Here is a 23149-nt window from a genome sequence, read left to right as displayed (position 1 = left end):
GCTCTAGAGAAGGAGGACAGGAGGACTGATGGACAGGGAGGGCCCTGTCGCAGCAGGACCTGGCAGGGAGCTTGTTGGAGGAGATTGCAGGGCTCTGGGAACTGGGAAGGTGTTGGGCACCAGGAGAGAGGAAGAGAGTTCTCATGAAGAATGACCAGAAAGGGAGTCAGGAAAGGCCAAGAACCTGGAGTCATCACCTTCTGCAAAATTCAGGGGACACAACTCCTGGAGCTGTGGGACAGCCAGAACTGAAATGCAGCACTGGTCACTTCTTGGGTGGTGTGGATATGCTGGACTCACCTGAGGTCCAAAGTCAGAGCCTCAGATTTTGCACTGGCAGCAAATGGGGACACAGCAGCTGGCCTGGGAACAGCAGGGCTTGCAGCAGCTGGACTGGCAGCAGGATGACCCACAGCCTGAGGAACAGTAGCAGGGCTTGCAGCAACTGCACTGGGAGCAGCCACAAGAGCCACAGCCTCCCTTGGAGCCCCCACAAGAGCCACAGCCCCCTTTGGAGCCCCCACAAGAGCCACAGCACCCCTTGGAGCCCCCACAAGAGCCACAGCTGGTGCAGGAACAGGCTGGCACACAGCAGCACACGGGCTTGCAGCAGCAGATGGGCACACAGCAGCTGGACCCACAGCCCCCACAGCCAGAGCCACAGCCCCCACAGCCGGAGCCACAGCCTCCAGAGCAGCCACAGCAGCCCATGGTTCTGGTGGATTGAGGGTGGAGCAGGTAGAGGAGCAGGTGAGAGGGAGGTGTGCAGGTATGGAGCTCCCTGAGCCTGGGCCCTTTATATCCCTGCCCAGGATCAGGTGTGATGCTGGACACACAGTCATTTCCTGGTTCCTGTTTGTGCCATTTCCTTAGGGAAACTGTGTTTGTTTGCTTAATCTTAAAATAACCTCAGTGGTGTACATAGTTTTGCACTTTTTCTTTAGTTCATGATTTCCCTCACATGTCCTCTGAAAAATGACAAGGCCCCTGTCCTTCTGTGTTAGTAAGGGCAACGGGAGCAGGGACTTGGCTTTGATGCTGCGCTCATCTTTGCTACCAGTGTTCATTTCCTGGGGCTGCCATAACAAATGGCCCCCAACGGGAGCCTTAAAGCGGACATTGGTGCCTCGCGGTTCAGGCAGACAGAAGTTCAAGATCAAGTTCTCCGTGGGCCACACACTCTCTGAAGGCTCCAGGGAAGGATCCTTTCTGCGTCTTCCAGCTTCTGGTGGTGGCCAGACATTCTTGGCTTGTGGCTGCATCCCCCGTCTCTGCCTCCATCCTCAAGTGGGCTTCTCCACTGAGTGTCTGTGTCTGACCTCCTCCCCTCCTTTCTCTTACAGGGACACCAGACATTGGATCAGGGCCCACCCTACTCCAGTACAACCTCATCTTAACTTGATTACATCTGCAAAGACCCAGTGTCCAAATAAGATCACATTCAGAGTTTCCAGGTGGACAGGAATGAGGGGGTCCTATTCAACCCACTTCTATGCTGATGCTGATGCTGACTTGACTCCGAAAGTCTCAGGGGAAGTTTACAGAAGGCACAGGGAGACCACGCATGGAGACACCCTAGAGCAGGTGACCCCATCCTGGGCTATCACCCGTGGGTAGAACAGGATGAAACCCAGGATCTCATAAGAGCCAGGATCAGGAAATACTCAGGATCAGAATAGGACTCAGGATCAGGGCAGGCTCAGGACAGGACTCAGAAACAGGGCAGGAACCAGGATCAAGACAGGACTCAGGATCAAAACAGGACTCAGGATCAGAACAGGACTCAGCATTAGGGCAGGTCTCAGGATCAGGCAGGACCCAGGATCAGGACAGGACTCAGAATCAGGGCAGGACCCAGGATCAGGGCAGGATCAGGACAGGACTCAGGATCAGGGCAGGACGCAGGATCAAGACAGCACTTTGAATCACAATAGGACTCAGGATCAGGGCAGGATCAGGACAGGACTCAGGATCGGGGCAGGTCTCAGGATCAGGACAGGACCCAGGATCAGGACAGGACTCAGGATCAGGGCAGAACCCAGGATCAGGGCAGGTCTCAGTATCAGGGCAGGACCACAGGATCAGGGCAGGAATCAGGATCAGGACAGGACCCAGGATCAGGGCAGGTCTCAGGATCAGGGCAGGACACAGGATCAGGGTAGGACCCAGGATCAGGACAGGACTCAGGGCAGGATCAGGTCAGGACCCAAGATCAAGACAGGACTCAGGATCAGGACAGGATTCAGGATCAGGACAGGTCTCAGGATACCTGGGATCCTGCTGTCTTGGTTGGAAAGAGGGGGCCTGAGTGCAGACCCAGGAATCGTGACCCTGCAGAGTCATTTCCCTGGAGCTGGATGACTCCAGGCTCAGTGGTTTAGGGCTTAGAGATGCTGTCAGTCAGCACACTGTGAGGCACCAAGGGCATAGTCCAATGAACCGGCAGAGTTGGAGAAACAAAGGAGGTGGCAGCTCAGGAGCCCCCCACCTTTGGGCTTTGCTGACAGAGGAGGACACAGGGATAGAAACTCTGAGAAAGCCAAAGCTGTGGGAGGGTCCCAGTGCCCCACCCCACACACAGGACAATGGCCGCCCACAGACCACGGGGCCTGTGGCTTGTATGCCCAGTCAGGTGACGACGCCATTCAGAAACTAGATCTCATAGGGTGCCCAGCTGCTGAATCTCAGGCCAGGTCTGCAGTGAGTGCAGTGCCCCAGGCCTGGAACACTCTGATACCATAGGGACCCAATGCTGAGTGCACCCAGGAGCTGTGGGTCTGAAACAGTGGTCAGAGGTCACCGACATGTGGAGGAGGCCCCTAGAGTGTGGGAGACAGAACCCCCAGGTGTCAGTCTTGGCCGAAGGCTTTGCAGGACTGAGCAGGTGGGGAAGAAGGGCAGGGAGCAGGGCTGCCATAGGAGAGACCTGTCCTTGGATGTGGGTCTCCAGAGCAGGGCAGGGCAGAGCACCGGCGTGGAGGTGTTTTGTGCATATGCTGGATACCTGGCAACTATGGCAGCGTGGGCTCAGGACGGGCTCCCGAATTTTCAGGGTCCAAAGCAACGTGACAGCGCAGGCCCCTTGTCCGAGCATGGCAAAGGAATTCAAGACCATCAGAGCCTCACGCTGAGCAGGGTCCTTCTCACTTGCATGGCCCCTGCATCTCCAATCCCCACTGCATCCCGTGCGCCCGGATATCTTCGGGAATTAGTGCATTCTTGTGAAACACGGGGTTTTATTTTGAGGCGCGTTTTCAATTCTGCAACGGGGGTGTGCACGGCCTTGCTCTACCGGTCACCCTCCTGCTTCAGCTCTGGGTCTGAAGGTGGCTCCACGTGGCTCCGGGGTCACTACATCCACACCCAGGGACCCCCACCTCGGCCGCTTCCAAGCTCTGCCCCGCCGTGTGCCTCGAGGACAATCGCCTGGGGACAGACCCGCCCGCCGCCCCACCAGTCGTGTGACATCAGGCAGTCCACAGCCTCCCTGGCCCTCAGTATCTTCATCTACACAACGAGAGGAGCATTGACCACTTTGCAGAGCTGCTTTGGAGGCCAGAGGTCATGAAATGAAGTTGCCGGCCTCCGCTGACCCACGGTTGTCGTTTTAGCTCTCCGCTTCCTGACCCGGGGTTCTCGGTCTCCCCTTTAGTCTCTCTTCCTCCCCAAAGCGCAGTGCCTCCTCCCCCGGGCCAGTAGGGCCCAAGGCTGCAGGGATGCGGCTGGAGGAGCGCAGCGGGAGGGGTCAGAGCTGCCCGCGGCAGAAGCGCAGATGAGCAGTCCTTGAGCGCCCCCTGGGGGCCGTGAGCTCCGAGCCTGTGGCCGAGGGCGGGGAGGCGCCTGCTGGGCTCTGCAGAGGTCACAGGCAGGGACTTGGGGGTTCCTAGGGGCCCCGGCACAGGCTGGCACGGAGGAGGAGGCATCGCCCGGCCCCCCCTCGGGGCTGTAGCTCAGAGCAGCCCTGGTGCCATGACCACCCCCCAACCCCTGGCCCAAGCGGGCAGAGCCCTCGGTGTGGGGAGACCTTCCCTTCTGCCCCTTTCTCCTGCGTGTTGACCTCACAGAACAGGAAGGGGGCCAGCAGGAACATGGCAGGGGGCGTGACAAGGGCAAGGCCCTGGGGTCGGCTCGCCTGCTCCTTGCCCTGTGCCAGCCGACCTGGGCCTCCCTGTCTCCGCCACATCCCTCGCCTGTCTCGACCACGGCCTCCGTCCCCAGGCACTGGCCCCTGGTCCCCAGGCTCTAGGTGGTGGCAACCCCTCGCTCGGGGCCACTGGGGGCAAAGAGGGGGGGCAGCTCCTGCCTCTGCTGTCTCTGGGTAGACTCCCTTTCTGTCCCCACGGTAGCAGCTCTGGTTTTCTCTGCACCTGAGTCCCTGTCCCCATCCCCCAGAAGGTTCCTGTGTCCGGGGAAGGGTCCTTCGTCCCTTGCGACTTTCTCCAAGTTGCTATATATGCACTCCGAGTCTCCTTTTCTGACCTGTAAAATTGTGATGGGAATAACAGGGCCGTCGCCATTCCTGGGGAAACGAGACTGCAGGTCCTGCGGCCCGGGCTGGCCGAGAAGCGCCACCTGGTGGCAGGAGGGCCCCGCGGGGCGGCCGGCGAGTGGGAAGCAAAGGCTCCTCGCAAGACCACTCCCCTAGCCCCGGGGTCGGCAGCTCTCCAGGGGCCATGTCCCCGGCTGGTTCGGCGCCCAGGGACAGCACCCCAGACCAACTTGCGCATTCCTTCCAATCACAATGACTTTGATGCTTTTGAAAAAACAAAAATTAAATTAAAAAATAAAATAACACATCCTTTAAGTTTTGTATCTGTGGGCTCCTCTTTCTGGGACTCAGGGCGAGTGCCTAGCCCGCCCGTGCACACCGTCAGAGCAGCGCAGCCAGACCCCAGCCTCTGCTCAGCCAGGGTCTCTAGGGAAGGTGCCTGCAACCAAGCCCTCGTTTCTAGTTTGTAATGCACGGCTTCTATTTTGTGGCATGCACTGATGCTGGTTTAGAACGGCTCCCACCCTTCCCTGTCTTCGTAGCAGGTAGTGAGTAGCTGTGACCCTCTGAGAACAGGACAGGGGCTCACCCCTCCAAGCCATCTCCTTCCTGCTCCTCAGCCCTGGAGAGTGGAAGTGGGTGCGTGGGAAAGTTGAAGGCTTCATGCTCAGGGCTGGCATGGCCAGGGGCACCGAAGGAGGTCGGGGGAGGAGGGACATTCGAGAGCCGGGCTCTCAGAACCTGGGTGTCTGTGGCTTCCTGGGGATGCAGGGATGGATGGAGTTGTGCCTGGCCAAAATCTCACCCTGCACCGTCACTCCAGCCCCTGCCCCTCCCCGGGGTGAGAGGCGGCCTCTGGCTTCCCACCTGCCCACAGGGCCTTGCCTGCCTGGGGCCCAGCAGGTGGTTCAGCTTAGCTCCATGACTAATTTCCCTCCGCCTTCACCTGAACACACAGGTGCACCCCGAATCTGCTCCCACACCCCCTCCTCCAGCAGCTTAGGGTCGAGGACCAGAACCAGTTTTCAATGCATTTAATGACCTCTGAGGAAGTCCCCTTAGAAGATTGCGGCAGCAACCGGGGATGGGAAGGGGCTGTTTCCAAATGAGGTGAACCTGGGGAGGTTGCCTGAGCCTCTGGGCCTCAGCCTCTGTTTTCTGGCAGGCAGAATGGAATGAGCATTCCCTTTTCTCCTGGGCCACTGGGAGACTTTGCCATTGTGAAGGCAAAACGCCTGGCAACAAGTGGGTCTTCTGTGACCATGGCTCTCGCCGTAGGCTTACAGCAGCAGCCGCTGCTTCCTGGGCCTCTGTCCCTCTGTGAAGGTCCCCGGTCTCTCAGACAGAATCTTCTGTCTGGGTCAGGGTCTGGCCACACTGTCCCTGAGCTCTCCTTCCAGGCATCCCAGCTGGGGGCAGAAGTGAACCCACAGAAACCCCCATCCACCCCGGACATTGAGGCTGCCCCTGGGAGCTGGCAGATCCTGAACTCTAATAAGGCCTGTCCTAGGCGTGGAGCTGGCTGGTAGCTTGAGGGTTTCAAGCCCTCTGGATCCCACCTACACAGGGATTCCCTGGAAACACCCGTCCCTCCTACTCCACACCCCAACCTGACCTCCTGAGGCAGTGGCTGCAGGGGCCCTGGGGGTTCAGCCCCAGCAGTGAGATGGGCCATGGGGCTCTGGAGCCCTGGGTCGTGTGGGGCTCAGGCCTCAGGGCAGATACCCTGGCCCTGGCCTTGGCAACAGCGCCCCTCTTGTTCCCTGGGGCATTGCTCTGCTGCTCGTCTCCTTTTTGCAGCCACCATTTATGTAGCGCCGACTATGTGCAGAGTCTGGGAAGGTGACACAGAGAAGAATAAGAAGAGGGAGTGGTCCTGCCCCAGGGGTGCGGGGCCAGCTGTGAGGCGTTGCAAAGCGCGAGGAGGGGTCCGCGGCTGGTCCGGGGGCCCATGCCTGCGCTTGGGGGACGTGCTGGACAGGGCACGTGGAACCAGGCCAGAGCTGACTTTGTTCTGGGAATGGGAAGAGTTTGTTATTTAGCTTGTTCCTTTCATCTATTTGCATTGCAGAAGTAATCCTTAAATCCAGCCCTTATCTAATCACTAGAAGAGTTACAGAGACAACCAAAGTGCTCTTTGATCCTTCCCCACATCCCAGTCATCTGGGAGCACCCAGGGAGTCACATGGGAAGGGCTGGGATCAGATCTGAGGGTCTAGCAGGGTGTGTCCCAGGGCAGAGCCCTTGCCAGGGGTGAGCAGTGTCCGGGGAGGGAAGGGCCCCAGGGACAGAGCACAGCTGGGCCCTGAGAAGCCTGGGAGGCTGAGGTGGGCAACATGGAGCTGGCTGGCTTCTGAGCAGCCCAGTACCTACCAGGCCCACCCACCCTCAGCCACTGCCAGGAAAACCTGCTCAGGCCCCACTCAGAGCCACTGTGGAAGTGGGAGCTCCACCAAACCTGAGCCCCCAAAGGTGTTTCTCCAGGATCCCCTGCCAGCCCCACCTCCCACAGCCTGAGCACAGACCCCGGGATGCCCCACAGGACCACCTGCTCCCACACAGCCCCGTCACATTCCCCACAGCCCTGTCGCACTCCCCACAGCCCTGTCACACTCCCCACAGCCCTGTTGCACTCCCCACAGACGTGTCAAAACTCCCCACAGCTCTGTCACACTCGCCACAGACCTGTTGCACTCCCCACAGCTCTGTCACACTCGCCACAGACCTGTCGCACTTCCCACAGCCCTGTCACACTCCCCACAGCCCTGTCACACTCCCCACAGCCCTGTCGCACTCCCCACATCCCTGTCACACTCCGCACAGCCCTGTCACACTCCGCACAGCCCTGTCAAAACTCCCCATGGCCCTTTCAAAACTCCCCACAGCCCTGTCGCACTCCCCACAGCCCTGTCACACTCGCCACAGACCTGTCGCACTCCCCACAGCCCTGTCCCACTCCCCACGGCCCTGTCAAACTCCCCATGGCCCTGTCACACTCCCCACGGCCCTGTCCCATTCCCCACGGCCCTGTCCCACTCCCCACGGCCTTGTCCCACTCCCCACGGCTCTGTCACACTCCCCACGGCCCTGTCAAACTCCCCAAGGCCCTGTCACACTCCCCACAGCCCTGTCACACTCCCCAAGGCCTTGTCACACTCCCCACGGCCCTGTCGCACTCCCCACATCCCGTGGCATCTGGCTGTACATGGAAGTGAGGAAGCTGCTGTCTCCCCCAAAGAACATTGCTCCCAGCCAGGGCTCAGCCCTGTGGGGCAGGACTCAGAGGCTCCTGGTTCAGAGACCAAGGCCCTTGTCACTTGCAGCGTGAACAGCAGGGAACTTTGCCCCCGAGTCCCACAACAGAGGTGGGGACCTTGTCACGGTGGGCCCAGGTGACAACACAGGGCCAGCGATTCTTCACCCGGCAGCAAACACTGCGGCAGACGACAAACATTGCAGCCCTTGGCAAACAAAAAGCACGCAGCAAACAGCGTGGTCAGCGAAAAGACCCTCCCCTCCCCGGGGATCAGACAGTGCAAGGCCATCCCCGGGATGACCTGCACCCACCCGGCTGCCTGTGTGACCAGCCACAGAACCCACTCTGCATTAGCACCCACGGCCGGGACAGGCAGGGAGCTGCGCCCGTGGCTTCCTGCATCTGCCGACACCACCCGAGGCTGCCAGGCCACAACATGAAGTCAGCTGTGCCAGGAAATCCCAAGCCTCACCCACACCTGGCCCCGGGCTGTCGCTGCATGCCAAGGGGTTGTGGGACCTCGCAGGCCTGCAGGCAGCATGGGTGGGCGCTGGGCTGGGGTCCGAGTGTGCCCCTACTCTAGGGCATGGCCGGTGGGCAGGGACAGGGGAAAGGGAAGGAGCAGGATGCCCACCTGGCTGTGGCTGTCTTACCCCATGGAATCCAGGCTCCAACTGACCTCACCATTCTGTGGGTTAATTTTCATTCTTAAAACCTTCATCTAAAGACCTTTGCTTCCTGGAATACAGGCCTGGGTTTTCCCAACAGTCGTGGGCACCCGGCCTGGCACGTGCTGCTCAGTGGAGGGACCTCACAGCCCGTTCTATGTGAGCCGTGCAGGAAAAGCTCCACGGACAAACTCACTCTCCGTGACAATCAGGAGGTTTCTTCTCCAACCACCAGAAGGAGCTGGGGGAGCTCATGAGGCCAGGAAGAGAACAGTCCTAATCCCATCCTTCCCCTCCTCAGCAGTGACCCCAGGGTCTGCTGTCCTGCCCCAACCCGCACTTCAAAGAAGGAAGGACACCTGCCTTCCCCTGCTACCTCACACCCCGAAGCATGGGGAGCATGGGGACCCTCGGCAGAGTCCTTTTGTAGTGAAGAATAACAGACTAGTGTAAAATAGCAGAAAAGAAGCTAATGGCCAAACACATCCAAGCTGGGGAAAACACCTGTTAAATATAATGACAGAATATGCTCTCATCAAAACCCAGGAAACTTTAAGAATACACTAAACCTCACAAAATGGGGGCGAAATACAATGATGACCACACGTATGAGAAATGGTCAATGGTAGAATTGAAAGAAATGCAAGGGAAATAAAAGGTAAGGGGTCCTTTCCGAGCAAAGTGGCAACGTCACAACAGCTCACAGTCAGGCTTGGCGGGACAAGAATGCTGGGCAGTGCTGGTTTGCAGGGAGGGGTCAACTTTTCTGGAAGCAGCCCAGCAAAGTGCCCCAGAGCCATCAATTATTCCTGTGCTTCGCAGCCACAGCCCACGAATGCAGGTGCAGCCACAGAAGCGCTGGCAGAGGGGAGGCTGAGAGTGGCGCTGGTTGAAGATTTCTCACAGGAAACAAAAGGCACAGCCTCCACGTGGCTCATGGCCATGAAAACCCTTGACTCAAACCATTCCACGTCGTGAGGAAGACGCGGGTCAGCTGCCCTAGTTGGGTGATGATGATGCTGTCAGGGAAAGCGTCGGTGCCTATGTGGGGAGAGTAGGGGAGTGAGAAACAAAAGCAAAGCGTGGTGGCTCTGTGGCTCCGGTGCCCCGGAGGCCATGGCTCACTTTTTCACAATGAACATGGGCTATTTTCATTTTTTAAAGTCTGCTAATGTTTCTAAGGAGACCATACAGAACCGAAAATTCTGAATAACCTTGTCTTCCATAAGGCAGACTTTTCATTTCTGTCATCTTTCCGGAAGGGCTGGACACAGAGACTGTGGGTCTGTGATGGAGGTGCCACCATCTCACCCCGAGTCCACGGCCCTCAGTCTCTGTGCTCCCCGAGCCGAAGGTGAGGAATCCATGCCTTATGGTTGGCGAGGGCTGCTGGGGCACCTGCCATCTCATCTGCATCCTGGGAAGCAGGAAGGAGCACAGAGGAAAACACAAGCCTGCTCTGGCCAGCTCAGTGTGCTCCTTCCAGAAACAGGTAAACACAAAATTACCCTGCGAAGCCGCCATTCCATTCCTAGGTCTATCCCCAAAAGAAATCAAAGCAGGGACTCAAATACTTGCACAGCCCTTACCACGACCTGGATGTAGTCAGTGCATCTGTTCCCAGCAAAACTCTTGTTGAAACGGGACCCCCAGTGTGGCAGCGTAGGGAGGTGGGGCCTGAGGGGAGGGAGACGTGTGGGTCGTGGGAGTGACTCCCTGGGGAGTCCGTGGTGCTGGGAGTGATTCTCCTCTTGTGATACAGGGTGAGTTCCCATGGGAATGGATTTGTTCCCATGAGTGGGGCTTGTTCTGAAGCCAAGACATCCCTGAGCTTTATCTCTCTTCCCGTGTCTGCTTCCCCTTTGACCTCCTCCAGCAGAAGCCAGGGCCATGCCATTGAACTTCTCAGCCAGCAGAACTGTGAGCTTGATGAATTACCCCATCACAGAGGTTCTTTTATGGCTACACAGAATGGACTCAGACACCCATGCTCACAGCCGTGCAGTCACAATAGCCCAAAGGTGGAAACAACCCAGCAGGTGAGGGGATCTGAAATGGGGTAGACAAACACATCGGGGTCTTACGGAGCCTGGAAAAGGAGTGTGCTCTGACGCCTGCAGCAACGCCACCAACCTTCACAGCCTCGTGCCGAGTGAAGCCAGCCAGTCACAATAGGACCAATGCTGTGACCCCACAGATGGAAGGCCCCCAGAGGAGTCAGATTCAAGAGGAAGATGGCAGAATGGTAGTCAGCAGGGCCAGTGACAGAGGCCGATGGGAGTGAGTGATTAGTCAGGACGGAGCTCCAGTTTCGCGCGATGAAAAGGTGCTGGAGCTGCATGGTGGCGACAGTGGCACAGCCACGTGCAGGTTCCCAATGCCACGGAACTGTGCACTTACCATGGGGATGGTGGGAACTCTCATGTACCCGCATTTGACCAGAGAGGAAGGAAGGAAGGGAGGGGGGAGGGAGGAGGGAGGGAGGTAGCAGAGAAGGAAGGAAGGAAGGGAAGGGGGAGGGAGGAGGCAAAGAAGGAGGGAAGAGGGAGGCAGGGAAGGGGGGAGGGAGGGAGCAGAGAAGGAAGGGAGGGAGGCAGGGAGGGAAGAAGGAAGGAAGGAAGTGAGGGAGGGAGGAAGGGAGAGAAGCAGGAAGGAAGGAAGGAAAGAAAGAAGGAAGGAAGGGAGGGAGGGAGGAGGAGGGAGGAGGAAGGGAGGGAAAGAGGGAGGGAGGGAAAGAGGGAGGGGGGGAGCAGAGAAGGAAGGAAGGAAGGGAAGGGGGAGGAAGGAGGCAGAGAAGGAGGGAGGAGGGAGGCAGGGAAGGAGGGGGAGGGAGGAGGGAGGGAGGGAGCAGAGAAGGAAGGGAGGGAGGCAGGGAGGGAAGAAGGAAGGAAGTGAGGGAGGGAAGAAGGAAGGAAGGAAGGAAGGACGGACCAGCCTGTTAGGCTGACTGACAGAGTACCCCCTGTCCTCCAATGCTGCCCACGGCAGGCATGTGGCAGTGGCTGACAGGGAGTGAGTCTGGAAGCGACCCTTGTCGGGGCAGCCTCCTTGGTCCTGTGATTCAGGACAGGGTGAAAGTCAGTGGCGGCCATTGGTGCCTCTGGCTGGGGTTCCTCACAGGGGCCCGCAAGGGGACAGCGAATGGAGCGTGGAGGGTGGAGGGCTCCTTCTCCGGACCGGAGCGATGGGTTCGGGAGCCATTCTGTGCCTGTCTTTGCTGCTGGGCTGAGGAGCTGGATGGCATGCTGGGAGTAGTGGGAGCTGCTGAGGAGTTTGGTCCTGGAGCGAAGAGGCTGAATCCGCATGTCTGGAGTCACCGTGGAGGGCACAGCTAGAGGGAGCAGCAGGGTGTCCCAGGGAGAAGACACCAGGGCTGGAATTAGAGGGACATCAAGGCTGATACTTAGAGGCATCCAATATATGGGGCCTGCCTGATGGGCTGCTCTCAGGTGGGATTTGGGGGGTGTGAGAGGGGTCAGTGCCCAAATGACCATGGGGTCCGTGGCCTGTATGCCCAGTCAGGTGACGACGCCATTCAGAAAGTAGATCTCATGGGGTGCCCGGCTGCTGAGTCTCAGGCCAGATCTGCAATGAGTGCGCTGCCCCAGGCGTGGAACACTCTGGTGCCATCGGGACCCAAGGCTGAGTGCACCCAGGAGCTGTGGGTCTGAAACAGCGGTCAGAGGTCACCGACATGTGAAGGAGGCCCCTGGAGTGTCAGAGGTCACCGACATGTGAAGGAGGCCCCTGGAGTGTGGGATACAGAACCCCCAGGTGTCCAGCTAGGCAGGAGGCTTTGCAGGACTGAGCAGGTGGGGAGGAAGGGCAGGGAGCGCGGCTGCCAGAGGAGAGAGGGCACTGGGGGTGGCTCGACCTGACGAGGCTGCTTGAAGGAGACACTCTTGGAAACTGACAGGGCTGCAGGCACTCCTGGGAGCAGGAGGAGGGTGGCCTGTCCTGGGCAGACCAGCCTCTCTGGGCTGTGTGGCCCCAGCTCCCTGAGCCCAGAGGGAGGTGAGGGTGAGAAGGCCTGGACCAGGCAGGACGCAGCCCCCAGGGCCCCTGCTGGGAAGAGGTCAGAACCTCCCAAGGACCCAGAAGGCCAGGTAACTGAGAACGGGGCTGCTCTCTGAATCTCCAGGGAGGACAAAGGCGGCCATGGCAGCAAGGGGACAGGGCAGAGGGGAAGGCGGGCAGGTGGATGTTGGAAGCCGCAGATTCCCATCCAGTATCCTAGAGGAGGAGACCCAGGGCTGTGTCCTAGGAGGCCCAGGAAGCCTGGTCAGCCTGGAGGCTGAGGGCGGGCCCGGGAGATCTGGTAAGGACATCAGTGTCTCCACGAAGAGCAGCAGGGTCTCAGCCCATGGCAGCCGCAGGCCCCATGACTGGGGCCGCAGCCTCCAGAGCCGCCACAGCAGCCCATTGTTCTGGGGGGTCAAAGGTGGAGGCTGTCAGAGGGGCAGTGCAGGGGGCTGCTGGGGTGAAGCCCCCTGTAGCAGCAGCACCCAGCCTGCTGTGGCTCTGCCCTCCTGGACCCCCTGTCCTCCTGGACCCCCTTCCCTCCTGGGCCCTCCTGGACCCCCTGCCCTCCTGGACCCCCTGCCCTCCAGGACCCTCTGCCCTCCTGGACCCCCTGCCCTCCTGGACCCCCTGCCCTCCAGGACCCTCTGCCCTCCGGGACCCCCTGCCCTCCAGGACCCTCTGCCCTCCGGGACCCCCTGCCCTCCAGGACCCCCTGTCCTCCTGGACCCCCTGCCCTCCTGGGCCCTCCTGGACCCTCTGCCCTCCTGGACCCCCTGCCCTCCTGGACCCCCTGCCCTCCAGGACCCCCTGTCCTCCTGGACCCCCTGCCCTCCTGGGCCCTCCTGGACCCTCTGCCCTCCTGGACCCTCTGCCCTCCTGGACCCCCTGCCCTCCTGGACCCCCTGCCCTCCAGGACCCCCTGTCCTCCTGGACCCCCTGCCCTCCTGGGCCCTCCTGGACCCCCTGCCCTCCTGGACCCCCTGTCCTCCTGGATCCTCTGCCCTCCCGGACCCTTTGCTGTCCTGGGTCCTCTGCCCTCCTGGACCCCCTGCCCTCCTGGACCCCCTGTCTGTGGCCCCTGCTCCCCTCCTCCTTCCCCGACACATGACTGGACCCCCCGATCTGCAGCCGGGGTCTGGGCACTGGGGGTCCTGTGGGCCTCTCGGTGTCTGGGGACAATCACAGGTTCCCGTGCCCACACCCAGCCTCTGCTTCCAGAACACACTAGAGGGTCCCGGCATCCTGATGAGTCCACTGTCCCCGCGATGGTTTTCAGGGATGGAGAAGGCTCCCTGTCCTCCGCTGGAACCCTGCAGCCGGGCTGACGGTACCCCCACCACCCACCCAGGGGCCCCCAGACCCTCCCCATCTCCACCGCCAACCCAGGCCCCGGCTGCGCACGCGGGGCCAGGCCGTGAGCTGCTGTCCCCGGATGGGGCCGCCCCGGGCTGGCCTGGCTCACTCCGTGTCACAGATATTCCCACAGAGACCCCAGCGAGACCTGCAGAACATTACAGCAGAATGAAGGAGAGCCAGAGGAAGAGGCAGATGTGCTGGCCTGTAAACAGTCTGATTTCCAATGTAAACCAGATTCAGGCCCACGACATCAGGTAAACATCTGCATCAGAGCCCCCGGCCCCCCACCGCCCGGGAGGCCCCGGGGTCCACACGGCCGACTCTGGGACCCGTCACAGTGACCGCCGAGACATTTCGTAATTAGGCAAAATTGATCCTTGCATTCCTTCCCTAAATCCCAAATCTCTGCAATTTTACTTCTTCTCAAAAATGAAAACATTTGGCAATTAGCTGATCCAAGTGAAAAAGGTAGAGAATGTGCTCTCAACTGGAAAATGCCAATTAAGGAAGCAGCTCTGACTTCCCACCCGCCCTGGCTAAGCTGGGAGCTTATCTTCCCCGAGAAGAATCTGCTGGGATAAGGGGGCTTGGGAAACACCGAGGGCAGGGCTGCCTCCTCACCTCCTCAGCTTCCTCTGAGAGCAGATTAGCCGTGGCCTTGTGCCAGCAGGGCCTGGGTGCCACACCGGGTGGCAGCGGGTGGCAGAGCCGGGCCCCGCTCCGGCACTGGGATTTGGGGTGGCGGGACCCAGTGGGGCACCCGCTTGTGGGCAGCACTGAGGGCGGTGACGTAGGCAGCGGGTGCCGGTGTCTGCCCCTCCATCTGGCCGGGCTCCCCACCCTGCTCCTGCAGCCCTGGACCTCAGGGCCCATTTGCGGTGCAAGGCGGCTCTTGGTCGGTCTCCACTCCTAAACATTTATGCGTTGAAAATGCCCATTTGTTTGTTTTCTTGTGTTCCATTTATGTGTTCTGTATCCTTTTTTACTTAATTTAAATAATTTTTAAATGTGAAATCGTTAAGTAACCTCAGACGCTCAAACTTTCTGTTCTCCACTCACCGAGTCCATGAGTTCTGTCTCCTTCTTCCCGTGGTTTCTGTTTGCAACAATAACGGAATACCTGCATGTCTAATTTTTTTTTTATTCAAAAGGCAGCATACAATGTATATTCTCTTTATCAAGCTCGTGATTTCTTTTAAAGATTTTATTTTGAAATCATTACAGATTCACAGGAAGTCTCAAAACTAGTACAGAGATTTCCACATGCCCCTCAACCAGTTTTCCCAACGGCTTCGTCTCCCTTAGCTGGAGTGCGTGTCTAAGCCAGGAAGCTGACCGTGCTACAGTGTGTGTATCTGGGTTTTTGCCATGTTGTAGGATGTGGGAATTTGTGTACACACCACCAGGAACAGGACACAGAGCTGTCCCACTGCCACGGCCATCTCCGGGGCTGCCTCATCCCAGAGACTCACTGCCCATGTCCCCGTTCCTTCCTCCTCACACCCTCTGGCCTTTTCCTATGGCTATAAATTTGTCATTTTGCAAATGTGATGTAAATGGAATGCGTGGGACCCTTTCAGATGAGCTCTTCACTCAGGAACATGCCCTTGAGACCATCTAAGCTGCTTCCTGTGTCAACAGTTAGTTCCTTTTTACTGATAAGTAGCCTCCCCTGGTAGGAAAGGACCTCTTTGTTTACCATTCACCTACTGAAGCTTTTGACTATTACAAATAGCGCTGCCATGAGCAATCACGTATAGGTGTTTGTGTGAACATAAATCTTTCTTTCTCTGGGACAAATGCCCAGGAGTGTGACTGCTGGGTCAAATGGTCAGAGTCTGTTTCGCTTTTTTAAGAAACTGTCAAACTCTTTTCCATGGTGGGTGCGCCATGTTACATTCCACACGCAGTGAATGTCATACCGTTTCTCCGAATCTCTGCCAGCATTTGGTCTTGTTATTATATTTTGCGTTAGCTGTTCTAATAGGTACGGAGAAATATTGGGTCATGGTCCCAGCCTGTGTTTCCCTGGGGCCACGCGGGTTGAAGGCCGTTTTGTGACTTCATCTGCCATCTCCACCTTGTCTCCATGATCCTTCTTTCATTGGATTATTTGGCCCTGTTCCGTTGAGTTTTGAGAGTTCTTCTTATATTCTAGATACGAGTCCTTTGTCAGACATGGGTTTTGCAAACATTTTCTCCCAGCCCACAGCTTATCTTTTCATCCATCCTAACAGGATCTTTCACGGCATAAAAGTTTTTAATTTCAATGAGATCTAATTCATTGATTTAAAATATATATGAATCATGCTTTTGATGTTATATCTAGGAAGTCCTTGCCAAGCCCCAGGTCCTGGACACTTTCTTCTATTCTAAAAGTGTTATTGTTTTTGATCCAATTTGAGTTAATTTCCTTTATTTTTACTTTTTTTTTTTTTTTGGGGGGGGACGGAGTCTTACTCTGTCTCCCAGGCTGGAGTTCAGTGGCGTGATCTTGGCTCACTGCGACCTCCAACCCCCAGGTTTAAATGATTCTCATGTCTCAGCCTCCCAAGTAGCTGGGATTACAGGTGCCTGCCACCACGCCTGGATAATTTTTGTTTATTAATGTATTTATTTATTTCGAGACGAGTCTCTCTCTGTTGCCCAGACTGGAGTGCAGTGGCATGATCTTGGCTCACTGCAACCTCTGCCTCCTGGGTTCAAGCGATTCTCCTGCCTCAGCCTCCCAAGTAGCTGGGATTACAGGTGCCTGCCACCACGCCCAGCTAATTTTTGTATTTTTCATAGAGACAGGGTTTCACCATGTTGGCCAGGCTGGTTTCGAACTCCCGATCTCAAGTGATCTGCCAGCCTCGGCCTCCCAAAGTGCTGGGATTACAGGCATGAGCCACTGTGCCCAGCCCCAGTTTGAGTTAATTTTCATATGAACGTGTAGGTCTACGGCCATTTTTGAACCCATGAGTCTGCTCTAGCATGGCTTGTTGGGAAAGCGGCTCTTCTGGCATTGACGGCTCTTGGTCCCTTGTGGGAGGCCAGGTGGCCGTGATCCTGGGGGTCTGCACGCCCCTTTACCTCCACTCTCTCTCTTCCCTGGGGTGACACTCTCTTTTTCAATTTTCTATTTTTTTAATTTTAATTAATTTTTTTTTTTTTAATTTTAGAGATGAGGTCTCACTATGTAGCCCAGGCAGGTCTAGAACTCTAGCCTCAAGAGATCCTCCTTCCTCAGGCTCCCAAAGTGCTAGGATTACATGCATGAGCTGCTGTGCCCACACCCACGGTGACACTCTTGATTACGGGAGCTTTTGAGTAACTCTTAACATTGAGGGGCACGATTCTTCCTTTCTTCTTCTTTTATCATTTAGCTATTCTAGTTCCTTTGCCCCTTTGTACACATTTTAGAATCAATTTATCTAATAAAAAATATTTTTGATATTTTGGTGTGTTGATTAATATGTATTCCTGGTATTTTTGATAAAAAATCTATCTAGATCAATTTAGGAAAAACTAAATTAAAATATAAAAGCACTCAATGTAATTTACTACATTAATATATTTATTGAGAAAAACTATATAGATGACACTCAAAACTATTCCCTAAAACTTAGCCCCTCTGTGAATTTTAAAGTTTTTCTTTTTCTAAACATTATTCCATAAAAAGTGTGAGAATTAATATTCATACGTTTAGTCCATTTTTCTACTGAGCTGCTATTGATTTGTATAATCAATTTGGATATCAGAGATATTAATTTTTATTGTTATATTTGTAAGAAACATTTTCTCTGAATCTGTACTATGTCATTTTTTTACTGTGATTTTCAATAAAGAAGTGTTTCCTTTTGAAACAGTGAAATCTCCCAGACACTCCGTTAACAATGCTTGTGTTTCGCGCCATGCTTTAAGGCCCCCCCAATATCGGGAATACATTCCCCACATGTCCTTCCAGGAATTTTGTACTTTTATTTTTTTGTGTGCATTTGGATTCCTCGTGGATGTGCTCCAGCTGAGATGGGACTGCCTAGCTGGGTGGTTGCTCTGTGTCTCAGCTGAGACGGAGATGGGACTGCCTTGCTGCAGGTGCGTGGTTCTGTTGTTACGTCCTCTGCAGCAGGCCCTGTCTCTTCCTGCTGGCTCAGACACCCCGTCCACGGGGTCCTGAGTTACACTGAGAAGGCTGCCAGGGCCCGGCTCCACTTCCTCCTTCAATTTATGTAATCCAGAAGCAAGGCAGTGCTGTTTTAATAACTGTAGCTTTATAGTCTGTTCTGATAGCTGTCTGGGAAATCACCACTCATTCTTCTTCCTTTATATTTTGCTTTTAAATTTTTAATGGCTATAAAAATTTAAAAAAATTATAAAGACATCCCCCCAAAATTTAATGGCTACACTTGCCTATACATTTTGATGAGAATTTTAGAGAAAACTTGGCAAGATAAAAGTAATTATTTATTTTAATTGGAATATAATTAAATCCATAGGTTGATTTTTAGAGACCTGAAGTTGTAAGTGTTCTCAATCAAGAAGCCTGTTATATCTCTCCATTTATTTACATCTTATGGGTAGGAGGCTTTTTTTTTTTTTTTTTTTGAGATGGGGTTTCACTCTCATTGCCCAGGCTGGAGTGCAATGGTGTAATCTTGGCACATTGCAACCTCCGCCTCCTGGGTTCAAGTGATTCCCCTGCCTCAGCCTCCCAAGCAGTTGGGATTATAGGCATGAGCCACCATGCCGAGCTAAGTTTTTGTATTTTTAGTAGAGACTGGGTTTCGCCATGTTGGCCAGGGTGGTTTCGAACTCTTGACCTCAAGTGACCTGGCCTCCTCAGCCTCCCAAAGTACTGGGATTACAGGTGTGAGCCACTGTGCCCGGCTGCCCATAGAATTCTATAATTTTAAAATTATAAATGGGAAATGTTGTCATGTGGTATTTTCTCTACATAGTGTCTAGAAAATCCGTTGATTTATAATGTTGTATCTTTACTCAGCTTTTGTTCTAGTTGTTTCATTTCTTCCTTTTAAATATTTTGAACTGTATTTAGTTTTTAGTGTGTCCCAATGCTATCATTCAAAACAATGTTTAATAAGACAGGTAGTAGCTGCTTCTCCTAATGTTTCTATGTGACTTTTAATATCACTTCCCGAGGGATATTCTTCAGAAGTTAGATATTAATAGCTTTTCAAGTTTTTCTTTTTTTCTAACATAAACGAATGCTGAACCATAGCAAGCTTTCGAACTTTGTTGAACTTTACCAGCTTTTGCAGCTAATACTTGAGTAGTCATAGGTTTCATCCTTTGTGAATTTCCAGAATCACATAAATAGACCCACTGCTCTTCCTGCCTCGCTAGAATAAACCATACTTGAGCTCAGTGTCTGGCACATGGCAGTTGCTCAATAGATATCTGTTGCGTAAAATGAACGAAGGGGCAAGAACATGGAGAAAACCACCTCTGTGGTTCAGGCATGAAGGGCCTGCTGCAATGGAGCTGTAGGGGCACTGAGGAAACCCTCCCTGGGGCCGGGCGTGGTGGCTCACACCTGTAATCCCAGCACTTTGGGAGGCCAAGGCGGGCAGATCACGAGGTCAGGAGTTCGAAACCAGCCTGGCCAACGTGGCAAAACCCCATCTCTAATAAAAATACAAAAAAATTAGCCCAGCGTGGTGATACACGCCTGTAGTCCCACCTACTTGGGAGGCTGAGACAGGAGGATGGCATGAACCCGGGAGGTGGAGCTTGCAGTGAGCTGAGATCACGCCACTGCACTCCATCCTGGGCGACAGAACAAAACTCTGTCTCAAAAAAAGAAAAAAGAAAATCCTCCCTGGTCCCCAGCCCCAGGCTTCAGCACCAGGTAAGGGTGAGCTTGCCTAGGAGGCCTCGCAGTCTCTGACGCCCTGAGGTAATGGCGGCCACACCTCACCCTGACCCGGCCCACCCATGGCCCAGGCTGGCACAGATCCCACATTCATACCCAGAAGAAGGGGATCCAAAGCCATCTGGGGCATAAAGGCTACCTGCCTCCGTCTCTATTATTCTCTGGACACAGTGTCTGAAATTCAATTAAAATTTATGAGATAGCAAGGAAGGAAGGTAAAATGAACCATGGCCATGTGATAAAACAATTAATAGAATCCAACTTTGAGATGACTCCAATGTTGACACTGTTGCACAGGGACTTTAAAATAACTCACAGGCCAGGTGCGGTGACTCACTCCTGCAATCCCAGCACTCTGGGAGGCCGAGGTGAGCGGATCATGAGGTCAGGAGTTCGAGACCAGCCTGGCCAACAAGGTGAAACCCCATCTCTACTAAAAATACAAAAATTAGCTGGGCATGGTGGCAGGTGCCTGTGGTCCCAGTTACTCGGGAGGCTGAGGCAGGAGAATCGCTCGAACCCGGGAGGCAGAGCTTGCAGTGAGCTGAGATTACATCACTGTACTCCAGCCTGGGTGACAGAGCTAGACTCCATCTCAAAAAAACAAATAAATAAATAAAAATAACTGTGATGGGTATGTTTAGTCAATATGCATTAACAGGTGAGGAATTTCAACAGATAAATGAAAACTGAAAAAAACTAGAACACTGTTTTTATTTATTTATTTTTGAGATGGAGTCCCACACTGTTGCCCAGGCTGGAGTGCAGTGGTGTGATCTTGGCTCACTGCAACCTCTGCCTCCCATGTTCGAGTGATTCTCCTGCCTCAGACTCCCCAGTACTGGGATTACAGGCGTGTGCCACCATGCCCAACTATGTTTTGTATTTTTAGTAGAGACGGGGTTTCACCATGTTGGTCAGGCTGGTCTTGAACTCCTGACCTCAGGTGATCCACCCACCTTGGCCTCCCAAAGTGCTGGGATTATAGTCCCAGCTACTTTGGAGGCTGAGGCAGGAGGATCTCTTGAGCCCAGGAGTTAGAGGCTGCAGTGAGCTGTGATCGAACCACTGCACTCCTGCCTGGGCAACAGAGCGTGGCCCTGTCTCAAAAAAAACAAAAGTCAAATGGAAATAGCCTCTCCACCACCGCCCCCCCACCAACAATATCAACATTCTTATCATAGGCTAATTAACACACTGGAAAGAACTAAGGAAAGAATCCATAAACTGGGAGACAGGTGAGTAGAAGTCATCCAAAATGAACACAAAGAGAAAAAAGACAAAGAGAGAGAACTAAATCAAGCATCCAAGACCTTTAAAACACTTCAACACACTCTAGTGAATGTCCACTTATGATCCTAAGAGGAAAGAAGAAATCGTGGAAGAAAAGCTACTTGGAGAGATGGTGGCTGAGAGTCTCCCAAAGCTAGTCAAAGACAAAAAAAATCACATATTTGAGAATTTTGGAGAGCCCTAAGCAGAATAAACACAAACACTCCTGTTAGAACTAATAAAAAATCCAGCAAAGGTGCAGAGTGTAGTATCAATACACAAAAATCCACTGAATTTCTATACATTAGTAATAGACAATCTGAAAATGAAATTAAGAAAATTTTAAATAATAATAGAATAAAATACAGAAGCATATACGTAACCAAAGAAGTATAAGAGTTAAATGCTAAAACCCCCAAATCCTGCTGAGAGGAATTAAAGAAAACATGAGCAACTGGGGAGGCCGCCCGTGTTCATGGGCCAGAGGCACAATCACGTTAACATGGCAATTTGTAAATCCAATATAATCCCTGTCAAAATCCAGCAGGCATTTGTGCAAAATTTGACAAATTGATCCTAATATTTACAAATGAAAATGAAAGGAAAGCCACCGATTAGGATAAAATATTGACAAATCATATAACTGATAAAAGATTGTATCCAGAATAGAAAAAAGAGCTAAAAACTTCATGACAAAAATAACTTAAAGGACCCGGTATGGATAAAACAATTTTTTAAAAGAACAAAATTTAGTAACAAAGACAGTCTCGTATTGGTTTCACTGTAGCCACACAGATCAATGAAACAGGATCAAAAGTCCAGGAAAAAAAAAAAACGTTTTATGTAGATTGTCAATTGATTTTTGACAAAGGCAACAAACAGAACTCAGTCGGGGGACAGACAGTCTTTTCCACAAATAGTGCTGGGACATCTGGATAGCCACATGAGAAAGAAGTTTGGAACCCTATCTCATGTCCTCCACAAGAATTAACACAAAGAGGGTTACATGAAAACCGGGAACTAAAACTTGTAGAAAACATGGGAGAAAGTCAAGGAAGCTGTGGGCCAGGTGCAATTCCTTAGCCATGACATCAAAAATAAGATCGTAAAATAAAACATTGATAGGGTGAACTTCATCGAATTTTTTTCAAATGTGTGCTTCAAAAGACACTAACAAGAAATCGGAAGATAAGTCGCAGATCTGGAGGATGTATTTGCAAACCATATCACTGATGAAAGATTGAACCCAGAATGGAAAAGGAACTAAAAAATTAATGACAAAAACAGCTCCGTTAGAAACAGGCAAAACATCTGCGTAGACATCCAATTTCATAATTTGTGAGAAATGTATTTAGTACCGTACACCTCTCAGTAACAGCTGCTTCACTCTGCCCCGTCCTTCTAATGTGCAATGTTTTTATTACTTTTTAATAATTATGATTATCTCTTTAACCCCAAATTTATGGTAATAGACTATTTGGTTTCCAAACATACAATATTTGCACTATCCCTTTTGTGACTTAATTTCTAATTTTTTTTTTGCCCTGTGGTTGGAAAATATATTTCTGTATGTTGATCATTTGACTGTCAGAAAGCTGCATTGTGGCTTAATGTTTTAATCCTTTTGTAGCCTTCTTTCAGTCCACATACAATTGGCTTGCATTTTCCCTTCCTGTTATTGTCAACTATTCTGTGTCTCTCGCGGGTAACATCGTTTAACTCCATCCATACTCTTGTGTCTTTTAATTGGTAAGTTTAATTTATTCGTTCTTCTGATAACCTGTTGTATCAGGATTCAAAAGTCCTGCTGTCTTAAATCAGGTTTTCTGTTTTGCTGTAGTCCTTTTTCTTTCTTATTATTTTCATGACCATGTTCCCTTCCCAGGGCTGGTCATTTGAGGAGCTGCCAGATTAAGACCTTTGTTGTCCCAGGACAAGCTCCGTTGCAGAGGCCGCAGAGGCCACCAAGAAGAGGGCTCCGTGCGGAGAGTGCATCCTGATCCCCGGGACCAGGCCAGGTGCGAGGCGTGCCCTGGCTGAAACTCAGTGCCTTGGTATTTTTGGAACCTACTTGGGGAAGAAAAATCTGGAAACCCTGTCCTCCCAGTACTGAGCGTTTTCTGTCTCGGAAGAGGTGGTAGTTGCAGTTCACTTCGGAGCCGCCTGCTGTTTTCACTTTGGGGGACTCTGGAGTTTTAGTTGCACAA

At 53.4% G+C, this 23149-nt stretch overlaps 1 protein-coding gene and 2 long non-coding RNA genes across 3 annotated transcripts, besides 1 other annotated feature; 1 reads left to right on the top strand and 2 right to left on the bottom strand.

Moving 5' to 3' along the window:
• Positions 1-201: 201 nt before the first annotated feature.
• KRTAP5-6 (keratin associated protein 5-6) lies at positions 202-762 on the bottom strand. The gene has a single exon (NM_001012416.1). It carries the CDS (start codon positions 709-711, stop codon positions 322-324), a length of 390 nt encoding a protein of 129 aa, NP_001012416.1. The 5' UTR covers positions 712-762; the 3' UTR covers positions 202-321.
• A 2454-nt stretch (positions 763-3216) lies between these two features.
• On the bottom strand, positions 3217-10327 carry LINC02708 (long intergenic non-protein coding RNA 2708). Its single transcript, NR_187232.1, has 3 exons — positions 10003-10327; positions 9628-9892; positions 3217-9454 (listed from the first exon to the last, which is right to left on the bottom strand). It is a non-coding gene; the product is annotated as a long intergenic non-protein coding RNA 2708 (long non-coding RNA).
• Positions 12223-12992: an enhancer, noted in NCBI's record as "H3K4me1 hESC enhancer chr11:1706195-1706964 (GRCh37/hg19 assembly coordinates)". NCBI's record gives its function as "activates a minimal SCP1, AML or CMV promoter by ChIP-STARR-seq in primed H9 embryonic stem cells {active_cell/tissue: H9 hESC(primed)}" and the evidence as "EXISTENCE:reporter gene assay evidence [ECO:0000049][PMID:30033119]".
• On the top strand, positions 12328-14687 carry FAM99B (family with sequence similarity 99 member B). The gene is made up of 3 exons (NR_026642.1): positions 12328-12519; positions 13655-13763; positions 13923-14687. It is a non-coding gene; the product is annotated as a family with sequence similarity 99 member B (long non-coding RNA).
• The last annotated feature ends 8462 nt before the right edge of the window (positions 14688-23149 follow it).

Source organism: Homo sapiens, chromosome 11, assembly GCF_000001405.40.
Source record: "Homo sapiens chromosome 11, GRCh38.p14 Primary Assembly".
Taxonomy (NCBI): domain Eukaryota; kingdom Metazoa; phylum Chordata; class Mammalia; order Primates; family Hominidae; genus Homo; species Homo sapiens.
The sequence above is the reverse complement of the archived record's forward strand: the minus strand, read 5'-3'. Positions and strand labels throughout refer to the sequence as shown.

Coding starts and splice junctions, on each gene's coding strand:
- KRTAP5-6 (NM_001012416.1), bottom strand. CDS start 711: ATGGGCTGCTGTGGCTGCTCTGGAGGCTGTGGCTCCGGCTGTGGGGGC.